Below are 20,787 nucleotides of genomic sequence, written 5' to 3'. Positions count from 1 at the left end.
ATCTAGATAGCTTTTATTTCTTTTTTCTTGCCTAATTGCTCTGTCTGGAACTCCCAGTCAGTTTTGTTTGTTGGTCTCATAGAGTTACCATCCTCTTTTTAGTTGTTTACTAGCAAAATCTATAGTTTTTTAGAGTTCTCTTAAGTTTGAACTCTCTCACACTGTTTCAAATAAAGTTGATTCCTTTGAAGATAACTTTAGAGTTTTATCTTCCTATGCACTGCCTCACTCCCTGGGCAAAATCTCTGATCTATCTGCTCCAAACACTGGGTGGGGGTAGTAGCCTCTGCTTTTCTCAACTGAAACCACCTCTTTAGAGTGACCTGGGGCAAAGGCTGTTAGTGCTCTAGTATTCTCAGCCTGTTAGGCCTGGGGTAAGGCTTCCACTTTACGAATGGGGGTTGTGTGGAGGAAGGCAGCTCCTGAGCCCTCAGATACCCTCACAAGGAATTTAGTCTCTGCAATTTGGATTTGGGTGGGATAAGAAATGCTGGTGTCCTGTCTCTTCCAGTGAGATACTGTATCTCTAGATTGAGAGCTGAAGGGAGAGGGAGACTGATATTTTTAATCACATCCTCCTAGAGTGGAGCTTCCATCTAGCTGAGCTGGGAGAGTGGGTCATGGCTTAAATGCCACAGACTGTCACTGCTTTTACTGAGATTTAGTAGATTTCCTTGAACACATGTTTATTTATTATGTGTCCTTAGGACATCTTCTGTAAACTTTAAATGTTTTATTTTCTAAGAAAATATTTTTAGGCCAGGCGTGGTGGCTCAACGCCTGCAATCCCAGCACTTTGGGAAGCCAAGGCGGGTGGATCACGAGGTCAGGAGATCAAGACCATCCTGGCTAACACGGCGAAACCCCGTCTCTACTAAAAATACAAAAAATTAGCCAGGCATGATGGTGGGCACCTGTAGTCCTAGCTACTTGGGAGGCTGAGGCAGGAGAATGGCATGAACCTGGGAGGCGGAGCTTGCAGTGAGCCGAGATCACGCCATTGCACTCCAGCCTGGGCGACAGAGCGAGACTCTGTTAAAAAAAAAAAAAAGAAAGAAGAAAAAAAAAGAGGCCGGGCGCGGTGGCTCACGCTTGTAATCCCAGCACTTTGGGAGGCCGAGGCGGGCGGATCACGAGGTCAGGAGATCGAGACCATCCTGGCTAACATGGTGAAACCCCGTCTCTACTAAAAATACAAAAAAATTTAGCTGGGCGTGGTGGCAGGCGCCTGTAGTCCCAGCTACTCGGGAGGCTGAGGCAGGAGAATGGCGTGAACCCGGGAGGCGGAGCTTGCAGTGAGCTGAGATTGCGCCACTGCACTCCCGCCTGGGCCACAGAGCAAGACTCCGTCTCAAAAAAAAAAAAAAAAAAAAAAGAAAGAAAATACTTTTTACTAGTTTCACTGGTGAACAGGTCCACAGAGCTCTTTGCATTGCCATCCTGCAAGCAGAATTCCCTGAGTGGTCCATCTTTTTACTTTAACCTATCTGTGTCTTTATATTCAAATTGGGTTTCTTCTAGGCAGCATATACTGTAGTTGAATTTTGCTCTTTAAACCCATCTGGCAATCTTTGTCTATTAATGGGGGCATTTAGAACCTTTACATTTAATGTGATTATTGATATATTTTGATTTACATATTCCATTTTGTTATTTGTTTTCTATTTGTCCCATCTGCTCTTTGTTCCTATTATCTTCTTTTTATTCTTTGTTTTGGATTAATGTAGTATTTTTATAATTCTATTTTATCTCCATTGCTGATTTGTTGGCTTATTTGCTGTACTTTTATGTTTGAGTAGTTGATTCAGGGTTTATACTATACATTTACAATTTATCACTCTTAAGTAATAGTATACCACTTCAAATAGAGTATAAGAAATTTATAAGTGTATAATTTTATTTCACTTCTTCCAGGTTTTTGCCTTCGTTGGAATACATTTTACTTTTACTTATGTTATAAACTCCACAATATATTATTTTTTTGCCTCAAAATGTTAATTAAATTAAATTAATTTAAAATTTATTTTAAAAATAAGAAAATGGGTGTTTTATATTTACACACATATTCATCATTTCTGGTATATATATATATATATATATATATAGAGAGAGAGAGAGAGAGAGAGAGAGAGAGAGACAGAGAGAGAGAGAGAGACAGAGAGAGAGAGAGACAGAGAGAGAGAGAGACAGAGAGAGACGGAGTCTCTCTCCATTGCCCAGGCTGGAGTGCAGTGGCATGATCTCAGCTCACTGCAACCTCTACCTCCAGGGTTCAGGCAATCCTCCTGCCTCGGCCTCCCAAGTAGCTGCACCACCACCCCCAGCTAATTTTTGTATTCTTTAGTAGAGACAGGGTTTCACCATGTTGGCCAGGCTGGTCTTGAATGCCTGACCTCAAGCAATCTGCCTGCATCGGCCTCCCAAAGTGCTGGGATTACAGGCATGAGCCACCATGCCCAGCCTCATTTCTGGCACTTTTTATTTCTTTTTGCATGCCCTAATTTCCATCTGATACAATATCATTTTCACTCTAGCTGACAGACTTTTTAAATCATTTTTTTAATGGTGCAGTTTTGCTGATAAATTCTTTTAGCTTTATAACGCTAAAAAAGTCACCATTTTGTCTTCATTATTGAAAATTATTTTATCTCTGTTTTCAATTTTAGTTTGACAATTCCTTTCTTTCACTACATTAGTGATGTTGCTCCACTGTTTTCTGGTTTCTGTTGTTTCTGAAGAGACATGTGCTGTCATTTTAATTTTTGTTCTACTTTATATAATGAGGTTTTTAAAAATCTGGCTGCTTTTAAGATTTCCTCTTTTTTACTGCTTTCAAACATTTTGATTATAATGTGACTTGGTGTGTTTTTCTTTTCTTTTTAAATTAGAGATAGGATCTCACTCTGCCATCTAGCTGGAGTGCAATGGCACTATCATCGCTCACTTCAGCTTTGAACTTCTGGGCTAAAGGGATCCTCCTGCCTCAGTCTTCCAAGTGGCTAGGAGTATAGGCGTGTTCCACCGTGCCCAGATAATTTTTTTATTTTTTATAGAGATGGGGTCTTGCTATGTTGCCCAAGCTGGTCTTGAATTCCTGGCCTCAAGCAATCCTCCCACCTTGGCCTCCCAAATTACTGGGATTACAGGCATGAGCCACCATGTCCAACAGGTGCTTTACTTTGTTTCTTGTGCTTGGGATTCATTGAGCTTCTTGGACATGTGAGTTTATGCTTTGCCTCAAATTTGGAAAAATTTCAGCTATTATTTCCAGAAATATTTTTTGTGTCCACCTCTCTTCAGCAATTCCAATAATATGTATGTTAGGCTGCTGGAAGTTGTCCTACAGTTCATCACATCATTACGTCATTCAATTTCTATCAGCTTTTGTTCCACTTTGTAAATTTCATTTAGAATACTTAAAATTTTTCATTATGTCTTCCAGTTCACTAAGCTTTTCTTCTGTGATGTCTAATCTGCTGTTAATCTTATCCAGTGCATTTTTCATTTCAGACCATGTATTTTCCATCCCTAAAAGTCCAATTTGGTCCTTTTTTATAATTTTGTGTCTCTTCTTAACATGCTAACTCATTCCTTTATCTTCTTCAATACATAGAATACATCTATGTATTGTACAACAATATAATGTACAACAATATAATAGCTGTTTTAATGTCCTTGTCAGTTAACTTTACCACCTGTGCTAGTTCTGTGTCTGTTTCTATTGATTGATTTTTCTCCTTGTTATTGGCTGTATTTTCCTCCTTGTGTGTATGCCTAATAATTTTTTATTGAATGCCAGACATTGTGACATTTACCTTGTTGGGTTTTGGGCATGGTAGCTTGCACCTGTAATCCTAGTGCTTTAGGAGGTTGAGGTGGGAGGATTGCTTGAGACTAGGAGTTTGAGACTAGACTTGACAATATAGTGAGATCCTGTCTCTAAAAAGAATTTTTTTTTTTTAATTAGCTGGGCATGGTGGGATATGCCTGTAGTCCTGGAGTGCAATGGCATGACCATAGCTCACTTCAGCTTTGAACTTCTGGGCTAAAGGGATCCTCCTTTAGCCTTCACCAAATGGCCTCCTTGGGAGGATAAGGTGGGAAGACCACTTGAGCCAAAGCAGAGCCCAAGGAGCTCAAGGTTACAGTGAGCTATGCATGTGCCACTGCACTCCAGCCTGAGTGACAGAATGAGATCCTGTCTCCAAAAAAAATCTTTTTAAATAATAATCATTCATTTACATGATTTTGGGCTTTGTCCTCAGATGCAGTTAAACTACTTAGAAACAGTTTAATCCTTCTGAGCCTTGCTTTCAAGCATTGTTAGATGGAACAAGAGCAGTATTTAGTGACAATTTGCCTCACTATGAGGTGATATGGTTTGGATGTTTGTTCCCTTCAAATCGCATGTTGAAACGTGATTCCCAGTGTTGGAAGTGGGACCTGGTGGGAGGTGGTTGAATCATGGGGGAAGATTCCTCATGAATGGTTTATCCCCTTGGTGATAAGTGAGTTCTTGCTCAGTTAGTTCACACAAGAGCTGGTTGCCGAAAAGTGTGTGGCACCTTCTCCCTCTCTCTTGCTCCCATTCTCACCATATGACATGCTGGCTACCTGTTGCCTTCTGCCATGATTGTAAGCTTCCTGAGGCCTCACCAGAAGCAGATGCCAGCACCATACTTCCTGTACAGTTGGCATAACCATGAGCCAGTTAAACCTCTTTTCTGTGTAAATCACTCAGCCTCAGATGTTTCTTTATAGCAATGTAAGTATGGCTTTACGCAGAAAATTGGTACCAAAGAGTGGGGCATTGTTAGAAAGATACCCGAAGATGTGAAAATGACTCTGGAACTGGGTAACAGGCACAGGTTGGAAGAGTTTGGATGGCTTAGAAGAAGACAGGAAGATGAAGGAAAGCTTGGAACTTCTTAAAGACTTGTTAAGTAGTCATGTCCAAAATGCTGACAGAAATATGGACAGGTCAGGCACAGTGGCTCATACCTATAATCCTAGCACGTTAGGAGGCTGAGGTGGGAGGACTGCTTGAGGTCAGGAGTTCAAGAGCAGCCTGGACAACATAGCAAGACCCTGTCTCAAAAAAAGAAAGAAAGAAAGAAAAAGAAAGAAAGAAAGAGAAAGAAAAGAAAGAAAGAGAAAGAAAAGAAAGAAAGAAATGTAGACAGTGAAGGCCAGGTTGAAGAGGTCTCAGTTGGAAATGAAGGATGTTATTGGGAACTGGAGTAAAGGTCACCTGCGTTATGCCCTAGCAAAGAGCTTGGCTGCATGGTGTCCATGTCCTAGGTATCTGTGGAAGGTTGAACTTAAGAGTGATGACTTAGGGTATCTGGCAGAAGAAATTTCTTTCTTTCTTTTTTTTTTTTTGAGACAGAATCTTGCTCTGTCGCCAGGCTGGAGTGCAGTGGCGTGATCTTGGCTCACTGCAACCTCCGCCTCCTGGGTTCAAGTGATTCTCCTGCCTCAGCCTCCCAAGTAGCTGGGACTACAGGTGCTGGCAGAAGAAATTTCTAAGCAGTAAAGCATTCAAAAATCAGCCTAGCTGCTTCTAGCAATGTGTGATCAGATATGGGAGCAAAGGAATGAGTTAAAGTTGGAACTTATATTTAAAAGGGAAGCAGAGTGTAAAAGTTTGGAAAATTTGCAGCCTAGCCATGTGGCAGACAAAGAAAAAGTTTTCTCAGTAGAGGACTATAAGAGGGCTGTGGAGTAACCATTTGCTAGAGAGACTTGGCATGACAAAAGGGGAGCCAAGTATTAATATCTAAGGCTATGGGAAAAAGACCTTGAAGGCATTTCAGAGATCTTTGTGGCAGCCTATCCCATCACAGATCCAGAGGCCTAGAAGGAAAGGGTTTGGGGGGCCAGGTCCAGGGCCCTGCTGCCCTATGCAGCCTTGGGATACTACTACCTGCATCCCTGCTGCTCCAGCTCTAGATCCAGCTGTGTCTCAAGGGGCTCCCAGTGCAGCTTGTGTTGCTGCTTCAAAGGGTGCAAGCCATAAGCCTTGGTGGTTTCTATATAATGTTAAGTCTGTAGGTGCATGGAATGTGAGAGTAAGGAAGCTTGGCAGCTTCTCTCTAGATTTTAAAGGATATATGAGAAAGCCTGGGGCAGAGCCCTCACAGAGAACCTCTGCTAGGTCAGTGCAGAGGGGAAATGTGAGTTTAGAGCCCCCCACATAAGAGGCGCCCCCACATAGAGTCTCCACTGGGCCACTGCCTAGTGGAGCTGTGAGAATGGGTAACTGTCATCCAGACCCCAGAATGGCACAGCCATGGGCAGCTTGTACCCTGAGCCTGGAAAAGTTGCAGGCACTCAACTTCGACCTGTGACAGCAGCCACAGGGGCTGTATCCTGCAAAGCTATAGGGGCAGGGCTGCCCATAGCCTTGGAAGCCCACCCCTCACACCAGTGTGCCTGGATGCAGGACATAGAGTCAAAGATTATGTTGGAGATTTAAGGGTTAATAACTGCCCTGCTGGGTTTTGGACTTGCTTGGGGCCTACTGCCCCTTTATTTTAATTTAATTTAATTTTTTTAGGCAGGATCTTACTCTGTTGCCCAGGCTGAAGTATAGTGGCACAATCATGGCTCACTGCAGCCTCAAACTCCTGGGCTCAAGCGATTCTCCTGCCTCAGCCTCCTGAGTAGCTGGGACTACAGGCATCTACTACCATGCCCAGCCCCTGTTGCCCTTTTCTTTTGGTTGATTTCTCCCTTTTGGAATGGGAATGTTTACCCAATGCCCGTACCACCATTGTATCTTGGAGGTAAATAACTTGATTTTACAGGTTTATAGGTGGAAGGAGTTGAGTCTCAGATGAGACTTGAGACGTGATTTAATGCTGAAACAAGTTAAGAGTTTAGGAAATTATTGCAAAGGCATAATTGTATTTTGAAGTGTGAGAAAGACATGAGATTTGGGGGGCCAGGGGCAGAATAATATGGTTTGGATGTTTGTGCCCTCCAAATCTCATGACGACATGTGATTCACAATGTTGGAAGTGGAGCCTGATGGGAGGTGGTTAGATCATGGGGTGGATCCCTCATGAATGGTTTAGCAACATTCCCTTGGTGATAAGTGAGTTCTTGTTCAGCTAGTTCCCAAGATATCTGGTCATTTAAAAGTGTGTGGCACCTCCCCCCTCTCTCTCTTGCTCCCACTCTCACCATGTGACATGCTGGCTCCCCGTTGCCTTCTGCCATGATTGAAAGCTTTCCTGAGGCGTCACCAGAAACTGATGCCATCACAATGTTTCCTGTGAAGCCTGCAGAACTGTGAGCCAATTAAACCTCTTTTCCCCAGCCTCAGGTATTTCTTTACAGCAATACAAGAATGGCTTAACACATGAGGTAGTATCTTTTTGAGTACTCTACCCAGAAGCCTGCATGTTATGAAGTTTTTCCCACTCTGGCAGGTGAGGAGATAAACTATTTCCATCCCTTTGTGAGTTCTGGGGTTGTTCCACCCACTCCTTTTCCGCGACTGTTTTTCCAGGCTTGGGTAGTTTCCTCACACACTTATGCTGATCAAAATTCAGCTGAAGACTCAACGGGACCCTTGGCAGATTTCCAGAACTCTCTCTCTCTGTCTCTGCAGCTCTCTCCTCTCCATGCAGCTCTCTTTCTCAGGACCTCTGCTCTGTGAATTCTAGCTGTCTTGGCCTCCGAGAATAATCAGCTCTGTTTCCTCAACTCTGGGAGAATGCTGGCCTCTGTTTGGGTTCCCTTTCCCTGCACTGATGTCTGGAAACTCTCCAGGCAGTAAATTGGGAACAATTTTAGTACTTACCTCATTTCCCCCCTTCTCTCATGTATCAATGCCTGCACTGCCTGTTGTACCATATCCTAAAACTGCTTCTTCCAATTTTTTTAGTTATTTAGAGTGGGAAGATAAATTTAGACCCCATTACTTTATCATGGAGTAGCAAGCCAGAAGTGATTCCTAGGTAAGTCTTGAATTAGGCTTGGAATGCTGTGTTCAGAGGGTTGGCAATCTTTCTCATATGACATGTATGTGTGTGACCTGTGATGAAGAGGTTGAAGGAAACTCCCCACGTTCTGTCAGTGTAAAAATTTAACAGCTGTTGCTATCATGACAGTTACCATTTATGATGATGAGGATGTATCGTGTGTAAAGTACACGACATGAGGTCATCATTTAAAGAGCACCTGCTACTAGAGGCAGAATAGAATGTTGTTTTAGGACAGGACACCTAGCATCAGAAAGCGCAGTGTGTAAATCCAGGCTTTGGTGGGATCCTGGACAAGCTGTCTAACCCCTTTGTATCTAGGTCTCCTTATTCACTGGTCTATTAATAGAAGCAGGGGTGAATGTGGGCTGTTGCAGCCACTCGAAGCGGAGAGTGCCAGGAAGGAGGTCATGATGGGTCAGCTGGGCCCAGGGGTAGAAAGTCCCTAGAACAGATGCCATCAGCATGCCCTGCCCAGCGGTGCAGAAAGAGATGGGTGTTGCTCAGGTCAGCTTTGGACATGATCCTGTAGGTAGCTGGGATGTCCCTTGAAGACAGAACCCATAGGATGGATTCTCCCAGCTCCCAGGACATGCACAGGGAGGAGTGACTCACTGAGACTGAGAGTACTTCAAATGTCTAGTCTTTCTTCAGCATGTTGTGAGGATCGAATTTCTTTCAGGGGTCTTTGCTCAGCTTTGGCTACCTTTATGACCTTTATGACAGTGGCTACCACTGTCACTGATATTGCTATGGAATAAGGCACAGCCAGGCATATGGGCAGGAGCTCTGGGGCCAGACTAGACCTGGGCATAAGTACTAGCTTTTATCCTCTGGCCCTGGTAAGCTTAAGTCAGCTGATGAACAGTGCCTCAGTTTACTCATCTGTAAAACAGTGATTAATAATAATAACAACCACCCAGGGATGTTATCAGTATTAAAGGAGTTAACTGACCATTAAAATAGAGCATCTCTGGAAAAAATAATGACAAAAGCAGCCGGGTGCAGTGGCTCATGCCTGTAATCTCGGCATTTTGGGAGGCTGAGGCTGGCAAATCACTTGAAGTCAAGAGTTCAAGGCCAGCCTGGCCAACATGGTGAAACCCTGTCTCTACTAAAAATACAAAAATTAGCTGGGTGTGGTGGCAGACGCCTGTGGTTCCAACTACTCAGGGTGGGGGTGGGGGGTGCTGAAGCAGGAGAATCGCTTGAACCCAGGAGGCAGAGGTTGCAGTGAGCCGAGATCACGCCACTGCAGTCCAGCTTGAACAATAGAGGGAGACTCCGAAAGACAAAAACAATAGTACTGGCTAATGTTTATCTCACATTTATTCTGTGCCAGGTCTTGAGAGAACTCGTGTGTGTGTGTGTGTGTGTGTGTGTGTGTATATATTTTAACCAAGGACTCACTTCACAGCCAATATAACTCTTACTGGGATCACCTTATTTACTCTTCACTACAATCTATGGGGATTGACTCTGTTTCACAGTGGAGAAGACTGAGACACACAGAAGGCAAGGGAATGATCCCCAGTCACACAGCTAATAAGAGGAGGAGAAGCTGGGATCTGCACCAGCTCCAATTTCTCTGTTTGTATTCACTCCAGAGGCTGATTGGCAGGGAACATTTAGCATACTCATTGCGCTGATCTTCCTTACATTGAGATGAGCTGGGTTCTCTTATGCACATTGTCTAGCCCCTCGGGCATGTAACTTTGATAACCCTATTCCTGGACACCCTCCAGATACCCTCACACAAAACTCCTCTGTGGTGTAGGGATTGCTTTCATCACATGACTTTGCTTTATAGTTACTCAAATAATACTCGAATATGGGCCTGGTGTAAAAGACTCCATTAGGCTGGGCACAGTGGCTCATACCTGTAATCCCAGAACTTTGGGAGGCCAAGGTGGGAGGATCACTTGAGCTCAGGAGTTAAGACCAGCTTGGGCAACATAGTGAGACCCTGTCTCTACAAAAAACTAAAAAATGGCCAGGTGTGGTGGCACACGCCTGTAGCCCCAGCTACTTGGGAGGCTGTGGTGGGAGGATCCCTAGAGCCCAGGAGATTGAGGCTGCAGTGAGCTGTGATCACACCACTGCACTCAGCCTGGGTGACACAGTGAGAGCCTGTCTCAAAAAAAGAAGAATAAAAGACTCCATTAGTACATCAGTACACGGACTACATAGGCCATCCCCTTCCTCCACATTCTCTCCCTTCCCAGCTTACCACTGGGGTGAGGATCTGGGTGTTTGCTTGTTTTCTTCAAATACATTTCTCTGTGTTTAAACACACACACACACACACACACACACACCCCAGGTCCCACTATGAACTTTTCCACATTCCCCCATTAAGAGCGTGTCCTGAAGAAGATTCCTTTGACCAGTATAGTCTGGTCCCCTCATTCTGTTCCGTGGCCAGTGACTGCTCCCTGATATAATACAAGTCTCTCATTGTTCATTTACCATCCAGTGATCACTGACTATGAATGGACATTTAGAGGTTTTCCCTGATTGTTTGCTACTATCTTCCTTGTATACTAAGCTCTGTGCTATGTGTATGTTTCTTCATTATACATTCTTTTAAGTGGAATTGCTAGGGAAAAAGAGTTCAGCCATTCAACAACCATGCAGTGAGTGCCTGCTGTGTGGTGGGCACTGGAGAGACTGAGGAAACTGGATAGGAAAATGCCCCTGCCCTCATGGATGTAACATTCTAAGGGCTTACATATAAGGATTTTTCATTTTGATAGATGCTGCTCTGATGTTATTCATCAGTGGTGCAGGAGAAGAAAAGTTTGTTGACTGGCATAGTCACACCACTCATGGGGCAGGAGCTCTGTGGCAGTGGACTCGATGCTTAGACCTTTGCTCCCTTTAAGATCTTCAGGGTCTGGTGATAAGACTTTATCTGGGTGTGTTGTTGGGGAGAGAGGGAGAAAAAGATGGGGAAGGGCTGGTCTACTAGTAATACAGTGGAGGAAGGTGGGAATAAAAGTCTACTTAGCTGTGTGGAAGAGTGGCTGGGCACAGTTAGAAATGCAGTCTTGGCCGAGTGCAGTGGCTCATGCCTGTAATCCCAGCACTTTGGGAGGCTGAGGCGGGCGGATCACCTGAGGTCAGGAGTTCTAGACCAGCCTGGCCAACATGGTAAAACCCCGTCCCTACTAAAAATACTAAAAATACAAAAATTAGCCGGGTGTGGTGGTGTGCGCCTGTAGTCTCAGCTACTCCGGAGGCTGGGGCATGAGAATCACTTGACCTGGGAGGTGGAGGTTGCAGTGAGCCGAGTTCGGCCACTGCACTGCAGCCTGGGCAACAGAGCGAGACTCCATCTCAAAAGCAAAAACAGAAAGAAAGAAGAAGAAGAAAAAAAAGAAATGAAAGTCTTGGGCCCCTCCCCAGACCCACTGAATCAGAAACTCTGAAAGGTGAGGCCCAGCAATCTGTGTTTTAACAAGCTCTCTAGGTGATTCTTGATGCACACTAAAGTTTGAGAACCATTAGAGTAATCCACAGGACCTAAGTATGAAATAGCTGGCCCCTCTTGGATCTCACCTCCTGTGAGTGTGCAGCTGGGGATGAGGCGTGGAGGATGTAACATACCATTGCGGGTACCGGAAATGAACACACCATTATGCGAGATACCATAGGGGAAGGGAGCTTCTATTTTGTAAGAATACAAATGCTGTGTGTGGAGGGACAATAAAGCCCACCCCCGCCCACCAACGAAATCAGCCCCACCTTTCGACAGTAGGGCGGGCGCGGCGGCGAGCGCCCCAGGCGGCAATCCGTCCTCCTGGTTTCCACCCAGGCCCAAGCTGACACCCATTCTCCGACTTCTCGGAGACCCCTCTAGTCCCATTTTTGGCCACGCCCGTCTCCGTTCTACAGATCTGAATAAATTAGGAACCTGCAAAGGGGCAGTCGATCGGTTGTGGGACGATCAAGGCAGGAAGGCATCAAGGACCGCTCTGGGAAGCTCACCTAGAGAGTGCGGCTCTTACAGAGTACAGCGGGATGCACTCGTAGAGCCGGGTCCCTGGGTCTTCGCGCTCGCGCACGGTCAGGCACAGTGGCTGATGGGCGGAAGTTCGTAAAGCGGAGCCTGGGCTTTAAGGACTGGATGACCAGTGGGATCCAGTCTTCAAGACTTGGACTGTTGTTCAGTATGAGGCTAAAGATGCTTCCCAAGTCACAGGCAGGGCTTAAGTGAGACCACTCGCAAGGGGTCATCTGGCGCTCAGTGCGCAGGGCTCTAAGTTTTAGGTCATCACAGATCTGACTTGCAGTGTCCCAAGCACTTCTTTCTTATGTGCCATCTCATTTAATCCCCACTAGCACCTTTGGAAGAAAGCCCTGTCACCTCTGTCGCTGATGAGGACACTGGAGCGCCAAGAAGGCAGATCCCTGGCTGGGGCCCTCCAACCAGGGTGGGGCAGAGCTGGGGCCAGATGACAATTCCCGGAGGACCGCAGTTGGGACACTCCCAGCGCTCATGCTGCCCCTGTCCCTCCCAGGGTCCCTTCTCTGTCCTCACAGACCCAGCTGGGCAGTGTCCTCCCATCTCCTGAGGTGACACTCACCCCAGCGCCTCCTTCAGGAATCCCACCCCGCCCCCTCCAGCCCTAGGCGAATTGCCCTGGACTCTCAGTCTGGGTCTGGAGTTTCATCTGGATCTGGGAGACATTTCCAGTTCTGCCCTAACAGGGATGTTGTGACAGAAACCTGTGTGGGGGCAGGAGAGATATCTGTCCTGCAAAATGGTCTGCACTTTCAGGAAGTGCAGGGAGGGTCCTGAGGGGGTCCTCTGAGGTAGGCCTAGGTGCCGGGTGAGAGGACCGAAGTGGGCGTGAGAGGGTATAACTGAGGCCCCATGACTAGGGCTGGGGTAGGGAGGTAGAGGTCCGTGGTGGAAGGGGAGCCCTGGTGGCTCACAAGGGTGGGGAGCTGGGGAGAGAGAGGAGGTGTGGCAGCTGCCAATTGGAGAGGAAGTTTGGGAGAAAGGACCAGAATGCTCAGAAGGGCCATAATGGGGGTTGCCATTGGCAGTGTGAAGGGAGGACCTCTACTCTCTCTCCAAGATCCAGTTCCCCACAGTGGGTGCTGAGAGATGGCAAAGATAACGGGGTCTAGGGGTCTCCTACTGTGTTCTGGGATTTACCCTGAAGCCCCCATGGGGCAAGATACAAAAGTCACCAGGACCAAAGGTGATCAGGGTTGGTCAGACGATGGCCATTCCTGGGAGCCAGATATGAGAGCTTACTCTCTGATCCCCTCAGTCCCAGAGGGTCCTTCCCCATCCCTGGTGTGAACCTGCCTTCCTCATGACAACAACGGTGGTGACTGCAGACTGTGGGGAACTACAAGATCCAAGGCCTCCCCATAACAGTGTTGGATGGCACAGAGATTCAGCATCACACAGCAGCCCTGAGCTGATTCTTTGTGGGTATGTGTACCAGGGTGTAGCTGGTAAGCTCTTTGTGGGTTGGTGTGTGAGGTCCTTGAGTTATTGTGAGCTGTTACCTTGAGGTAGGAATTCTCTGAGCTGGTTGGGGGTCTGTGTCCTGAGGTGTGGCATCTTTGAGCTGTTTGGTGGTTGGTGTCTAGGGTGAGAGGTCTCTGAACTGCTTGTGGGCACTGTCCTAAGGCATGAGATCTTTGAACATTTTTGTGGGAGGTCTTTGTCCAGAAGGTTAGGTCTCCGAGCTGCTCATATATCAGGATATTTTTGTGAGGAAGGCAGGATGGTCCTTTCTCTCACAGGGGTAGAACAAGGTGCCCTGGTATCAGAGAGATGAAAACATAGGATCCTTATCCTTAGGGAGGGCAAGTCCTCAGTGTAGCATGTAGGAGCCAGTGGTACAAATACTAATGACAATGTCTGCAGACATTAACCCCATCCTTGCTCAGGGCCGACCCCTGTGACAAACCCATGTAACCCATGTTAACTCAATCTGCCAAATTGCCAATGAGGAGCTCACCATTTGCAGATGAGGAGGCTGAAGCCAAGTGAGGGTAGGGCCTGTGCTCACACAGTCCTCATGAAGAGGGAGGAACTGGCTGTAACTTGGACTCACTGGAGGAGACAGGGAAAGGCTCAGGCACAGCCGGGGTCAATGGGAGATGACAAGGAAAGGGGAAAGGAAGAGGTTTGCCCAGGGCCTCAAGGGCCCCATCACTGACTCACTGGTGGGAGGTCTGCCTCTCTGTCTCTCTGTCGCACACCCTGCTTGGTAATGGATGTTGAGAATGCAATCCTCACGTTACCTGTGGAAGTGGTGGCATGAGGTAAAGAGTGGGGAAATACCACAGATTCATCCATTGGCATGAGGTCCACCAGCAAATGTAGAGATTCCTACCTCTTCTTCCCCCTTGAAAGAATTTTTTTCAGGCCAGGCATGGTGGCTCACGCCTGTAATCCCAGCACTTTTGGGAGGCCGAGGCAGGCAGATGGCTTGAGCCCAGGAGTTCAAAACCAGCTTGGGCAACATGGCAAAACCCTGTCTTTACAAAACATATAAAAAAAAATCAGGCCGGGCATGGTGGCTCATGCCTGTAATCCCAGCACTTTGAGAGGCCAAGGCAGGTGGATCACTTGAGGCTAGGAGTTTGAGACCAGCCTGTCCAACCTGGCGAAACCCTGTCTCTACTAAAAATACAAAAATTAGCCGGGCATGGTGGTGCATGCCTGTAATCCCAGCTACTCGGGAGGCTGAGGCATGAGAATCGCTTGAGCCCAGGAGGTGGAGGTTGCAGTGAGCCGAGATCACACCACTGCACTCAGCCTCGGTGACAGAGGGAAACTCTGTCTCAAAGAAACCAAAACCAAAACAAAAAAATCAGCTGGGCATGGTGGCGTGCACCTATAGTCCCAGCTACTTGGGAGGCTGAGGTAGGAGGATTGCTTGAGCCCAGGAGGTTGAGGCTGCGGTGAGCCGTGATTGTGCCACTGCACTACAGCCTGGGTGACAGAGCAAGACTCTGTCTCAAAAAAAAAAAAAAAAAAAAAGAATTTTTTCAGCACTGAGAGTCAGCAGGACGGCAGTCAAGGGCTGGAGGGGGTATGGGGGATTCTGTATACAGCATGAGCCTCCCCATAACTGGAACGTGTCCTTATCCTGATGGGTAGAGGGTCCCAATGTGTGTCAAGGAAGTGGGGCGGGTCTTCCCTCATGACTGAGGCCCAGGCCAAGGGCAGGTGAGTCAGTCCCTAGACACAGTTTCTGGGGAGAGGCTTCCTTTCCTCTGCAGACACAGGCACAGCACCTAGTAGCATGCATAGGGGTCCGGAGCTGTGGATCTAATTCAGCAGGGACAGCCAGCTGCCAGAAGTAGTCTCTCTGCCCTTGTCTCTCTATTACTCTCTTTCTTTCCCTCTATCTTCTCTGTGTCTGTTACTTTCTCTCTCAGACATGGGGCTAGGTGTGACCTCACTCATGCTATCAGGGCCCTTGATCAGCTTCTTCTAAGGGTATCATCCTCTGACATGGATTTTTCTGGGGAGCAGTTGGGAGGATACCTTCTGAGTCTAAGGGATTGTCCAGGAAAGGCATATTTGGCTGCAGAGGGGCTGGAGGAGTCCCTCGGCAAAACCAGGAGCTCTTCCCTATACTTTGAGTGACCTGGGCCTCTGGCCTCTGAAAGAAGCATAGGAGCTTCTCTGCTAAAAACTTTCCCATGGCTCGCTCAGAGTAAGTCAAAGTCCTTGCCATGGCCCAGAAGGTCCTGTATAATCTGGTCCTCATTACCTTTCTGAGCTCATCTCCCACCTCTTCCAGCAACACTGGCCTCCTCACTGTGCCTCACACATGCTAGGCAGAGTTCCACCTCAACACTTTTGCACTGGTTCTTATCTCTGCCCAGAATGCTTCTCTCAGATATTCATCTCCTATTGAAATGTCAATTTCACGTTCTCAGAAAGATCTTCCTTGGCTACTCTTTCTAGATAGGATCCTCCCCTCTTCTATTTCACTACCCTGACTTTTCATTACAGCAATTACCACCACCTGACAAATTACATGCTTACATTTTTGTGCCATATGATCCCAATAGAATGTAAGCTCCACGAGGGCAGGAGTTTTTGTCTCTTTCCACACAGCTGTATTCCTAACACCTATAACAGTGCCTGGCACATACTTTGGACAGAATGAATAAATTAGCAAATGAATAAACCAATGCAAAATTCTGGTGAGAGATATAGCTAGACAGGTTGAGGATTCTGCTAGGGCACATATTCAGGTGTGACAGGATTTATTTGGCCTACTCATTCTCCTTGGGGGCCCCTGAGAGATGGCCCTTTCCCTAACAGAGCTTGAAGGTCCTGCTGTCCCTCTCACCCATTACTGACAGTCAAGGACAGACACCTGGCCCGCATCAGGCCTTCTGAGCCCAGTCAGGAGTTCCATCCCTCCTGCCCCTTGGGGGACTGTGGCTGGGTTCCCAGGCCAGCAGGCCCCCCATTAGATCTATTCTGCATTACCCAGGGAGGGACAAGTGAGCACAATGCCCAGCACGTGGTAAACGTTTGATGGTGGACGCTGCAGGAAGGTAATGGAAGTCTGCTGCTTAGGAACACTTTTCTCCTGTTCAAGATTGCAGTGAGTATACAGTCAGTTTTTGTCCTGACTTTGCCCTCTCACCCTCTGGGGACCAGCCCGGAATGGTCCATGGGTATCTGCATCCACTAGCTGTTCCTTGTTTGCACCACCAAGGGGCGCGCGGGATGGAACAGTTCTATCCTGGGATGTACCACTGAGGGGCGCAGAGGAAGGACAGTCCACTCCGCCTGTCCATTTTGGAATAATCCCTTGTGTGCGACAGCACTAAGGGTCTCTTTAAACCCACGTGTAGCATCCGCCACAGTTCCTGCCCCGTTAGGTCCGTCCCTACTCGCACCACTCGGTTCTCCCAGCCTGTTCGAGGCATCATTTTCACTTTACCTCCACCCCCTCGTTTCTACATAGTCAAATCCCGCTGGGGACCGCAAAGGGGCAAGCGATTGGCTCCAAGATGTGAAGGGCGGGGTCGAGGGCCGTCCCGGGAGGTGATTGGTTACTGCGAGAGTGCCCCGACTAAGCTTTTCCGGGGCGCGGAGTGGCTCCGGATGGACCGGCTAGCCCCTGCCTCCCTCTTCGCATCTCTGGTTCCCATTGGCCTTCAGTTTGTGACAGGCACGACGATTGCGGAGCTGAAGTTCAGGCAGCGGGAGCGAGGAGGGTGTGTGGCTTTTGATACAGTAGAGTTCTTTGGCCTACTCACCAACTGACAGTCCCAAAGGGGCTGGAGATGCCACCCCGGCAAAGTTCGCCCTAGTCATTTGCTTCACGTGAGCTCTTTCAGTCTTGTTTATCCTTAACTCGGTGACAAGCCTAGTCTGGCGCTTTTGGCACGGCACCATCGTTCCTCCCGCTACACTCAATTAATGTCCAGGGAGCGGTCTCTGAGCTTGTTTGGTGTTTGCCTAGGAAGTAATGCGGGTGAAGCAGTTTCGGGGATGTGTATCTTTAGGCATGACATCTCAGATGCTGTTTGGGTGTATTTGATCACTCTGGGCCGTTTGGGGTCCAGATTGTGTCTGAATGGGATATTTTATCTCAGTGGATTTTGTGTGCCTATGTGTCTGGATATGCCTTCTTTTCTTTTCTCTTGTTTGTTTTCAGAGTCTCACTCTGTCGCCCAGGCTGGAGTGCAGTGGCTGATCATGGCTCACTGCAGCCTCATACTCCTAGGCTCAAGCTATCCTCCCGCCTCAGCCTCCCGAGTAGCTGCGACTATAGGTGCTCACCACCATGCCCGGCTAAGTTTTTTATTTTTTATTTTGTAGATATGGAGTCTCGCTATGTTGATCAGGCTGTTTTTGAACTCCTGGCCTCAAGTGATCCTCCCACCTCGGTCTCCCAAAGTGCTGGGATTACAGACATGAGCCACCACGCCTGGCCTGGGTGTGCATCTTCTGAGCTTTTTGGACATTTGTGTCCCTGGGTGTGAGAGCTCTATGTAGGTGTCTGCACCCCAGGATGTGAAGTCTCTGAGCTGTTTGCAATTCTGGGTCCCAAGTTGTGATGTTTCCCAGCTGGTGTTGGTGAGGACAATTTTGCTTAAGGTATAAAGTATCTGAGCTGTTTGGAGGAGGGAGGGGTCTCTGCCCAGAATGTAGGTTCTCTGATTTGTCTGGGGACTTTATCTTAAGATTATGTGATGTTTCTGAGCTACTTGAACTTCTGTTTCTGTTTTGTATTAGGTTGGGAGGTGTCTGAGTGGTTTGGGGGGGGTCTCTGTCTAGGGTGTGAGATATCTGAATGGTTTTAATTTGTTTCCCAGGAGTGAGAACTTTGGTCTGTTGTGTGTGGGGGTCTTTGTCACAGCATGTGTGGTCTCTGTTCTGTTTGGGGGTCTGTGTCAAGTTGTGGGGTCTCTGTGCAGGGATTTTGGAGTCTGTTTCAGGTTGTGAGATTAGTGAGCTCTTTTTGATGTCTTTGAGTATCTGAGCTGTTTGGGAGTCTGTGTCTCAGGAGTGAAATTTCTTACCTTTTTGGCTGTGAGGTCTCGGTCCAGGAACTATGGGTTTTGGAGGCTGGCAGACATGATTTCAAAGCCTGGAGCCCCCAAGTCTTGATTGTGTGACATTGGGCAAGTCACTTGTCTCCTTGAACCTCAGTATGTATCATAATCAGTAAAATGGGGCCAATATCCATCTTGGAGGGCATCTGTGCATCTTAGCAATGTGTGTAAAGGGCCCCACTCCAGCCATCCTTCAACAAGAATTTCCTGAGCGTCTGCTGTATATTTGAGTACTGTTCTAGGTTCTGCAGATACAACAGAGACCAAAACCAACAACATCCCTGATAGCATAGAGTTGGTCAGTAAATATATAGCACATCACAGTGTGGTAAGTGCTACGTAGAAAGTTAAGACAGTGGCTGACGCAGTGGCTCATGCCTGTAATCCCAGCACTTTGGTAGGCCGAGGCGGGCAGATCACCTGGGGTTGGGAGTTCGAAACCAGCCTGGCCAACATGATGAAACCCCGTCTCTACTGAAAATACAAAAATTAGCCAGGCGTGGTGGCAGACACCTATAATCCCAGCTACTTGGGAGGCTGAGGCATGAGAATTGCTTGAACCCGGGAGGCGGAGTTTGCAGTGAGCCAAAATCGCGCCACTGCACTCCAGCCTGGGTGACAGAGTGAGATTTTGTCTCAAAAAAAAAAAAAAAAAAAAAAAAGAAAGTTAAGACAGGGTCAGGTAAATGGGTAAGTGGGCAGGATGTTATTTTATTCAGGGTGTGTGGGGAAGGCATCCCTGGAGAGGTGATGACTGAGCAGAGACCTGGAGGCAGTGAGGAGCAGGCCTTGCAATTACCTGAGGGAAGAGCATTCCAGGCAGAAGGAACAGCAAGTGCAACAGCCCTGGAGCAGGGGAAGCACCTGGTGGGTCTGGGATCTCAAGGATGTGTGATGGTAAAGAAAGGCTCATCCAAGGTTTTGACATGTGGCACTCATTGACAGGTGCCTGGTGTCCCCATCTCTATTTCTCCCACAACCTGAGAGGGAGATGGGGTTCTCCCATGTCACAGATGAAGGACCTGAGGCTCAGAGAAGTGCCCTGAGCCTGCTCTCCTGCTCACACCTGAAATTCCTAAAAGAGGGATGACCTCCTATTGTGCCACGGGAGACACAGGGCTTGAGCCCACAGCTGGAGGGAAGGTGCCATCCACACTGAAAGTCAGCCAGCCAGCCAGTAGAAATTATTTATGATAATACAGGAACCATGGCCAGCATGACATTTCTACTTCCAGTGGGAAGGCAGGACTTTAGGAATGAGAAAGGAACTGGGATGGAAGAGAGAGGCAGAAGGGGAAGGTGGGGGACAGTGAGGAAAAACACACTGATTGAGAAGGGACCCTGGGGACTTCTGGGATGGTGATCGACCTTGAACTATATGGTTGTTACATGAACGTGCAGCTTATTGCTTGTCATTAAAACATACACTTAACGTTTTATACACTCTCAGGCAAAAAAAAAAAAAAAGACTCACAAGTGAAGCAGAGTGCTGTGGGAAGTGGGAGTCGCGTGAGTGTCCCTGACTCCTGCACACAGGCTCGCAGTGCCCTGGCCTGCTGGTGTGGACCACACAGCATAGGCGGCCTCCTTCCTGCAGAACCTCCCCTGGGCTCCAGGTCTTGCCTTCTATCCTGGAGGCTCCAGAGGCTCCCTCAGGCCTGTTTGTGGAGATTGTCTGGTGGGAAATCCTCTATCCTGTGCTCCTGACGCCAGCCATGGAGCAGGAACACCACCTCTCAGGGGATAGACAGGATCTGCCCATTTTGTCCTCAGATGTTGGGGTCCATCTCCCCTCAGGCCTCATTTACACCCACAATAGCCCAGGACATGTGGGCTTTGGGGCCTGGCAGGCTTCATAGAAGCCTGGAACCCCAAGCCCTGGTGGTGTGACTTTGGGCAAGTCACCTGTCCTTGACCAGCCTCAGTTCCCCATTCATAAAGGAGGCTAATGCCCGCCAAGCAGGGTAGGTGCAGGTTTTGGGGAAAACATGTGTACTGCCCTCCTCCCGAGCCCATGTTAGATGGGTCTAGTAGTTGAGGCAGGGTAGGAGCAGGGGCTGGAGTGACATTGGCAGGGACTAAATTGCCCCGGATCAGACGGTGGGCAAGTGGCTTCAGCTCTCTCTGCCTCCCTTTGCTCGTCTGTCATCAGGGTACTAACTTTCCCTCCTCACAGGGTTATGTGAAGGAGAGGTGAGACAACTGGTCAGTCACCGAGAGCAGTGCCGGG

General features: G+C 47.8%; 1 protein-coding gene across 10 annotated transcripts in view; it reads left to right on the top strand.

Annotated features, from left to right (window-relative positions):
• Positions 1-17,155: 17,155 nt before the first annotated feature.
• FAM156A (family with sequence similarity 156 member A) overlaps positions 17,156-20,787 on the top strand; it is a 48,219-nt gene continuing 44,587 nt past the window's right edge. For 5 of the 10 annotated variants that reach the window (NM_001242497.2, NM_001242496.2, NM_001242490.2 and 2 more), the window contains exon 1: positions 17,156-17,213. The gene's annotated coding sequence lies outside the window, so the exon portion shown is untranslated. Of the gene's footprint in view, positions 17,323-20,787 lie in introns of all 10 variants that reach the window. The other 5 variants (NM_001242495.2, NM_001242494.2, NM_001242489.2 and 2 more) reach the window with 1 other exon arrangement.

Source organism: Homo sapiens, chromosome X (assembly GCF_000001405.40).
Source record: "Homo sapiens chromosome X, GRCh38.p14 Primary Assembly".
Taxonomy (NCBI): domain Eukaryota; kingdom Metazoa; phylum Chordata; class Mammalia; order Primates; family Hominidae; genus Homo; species Homo sapiens.
Note: the sequence above shows the minus strand (reverse complement) of the source record. Positions and strands in the feature narration are given on the sequence as shown.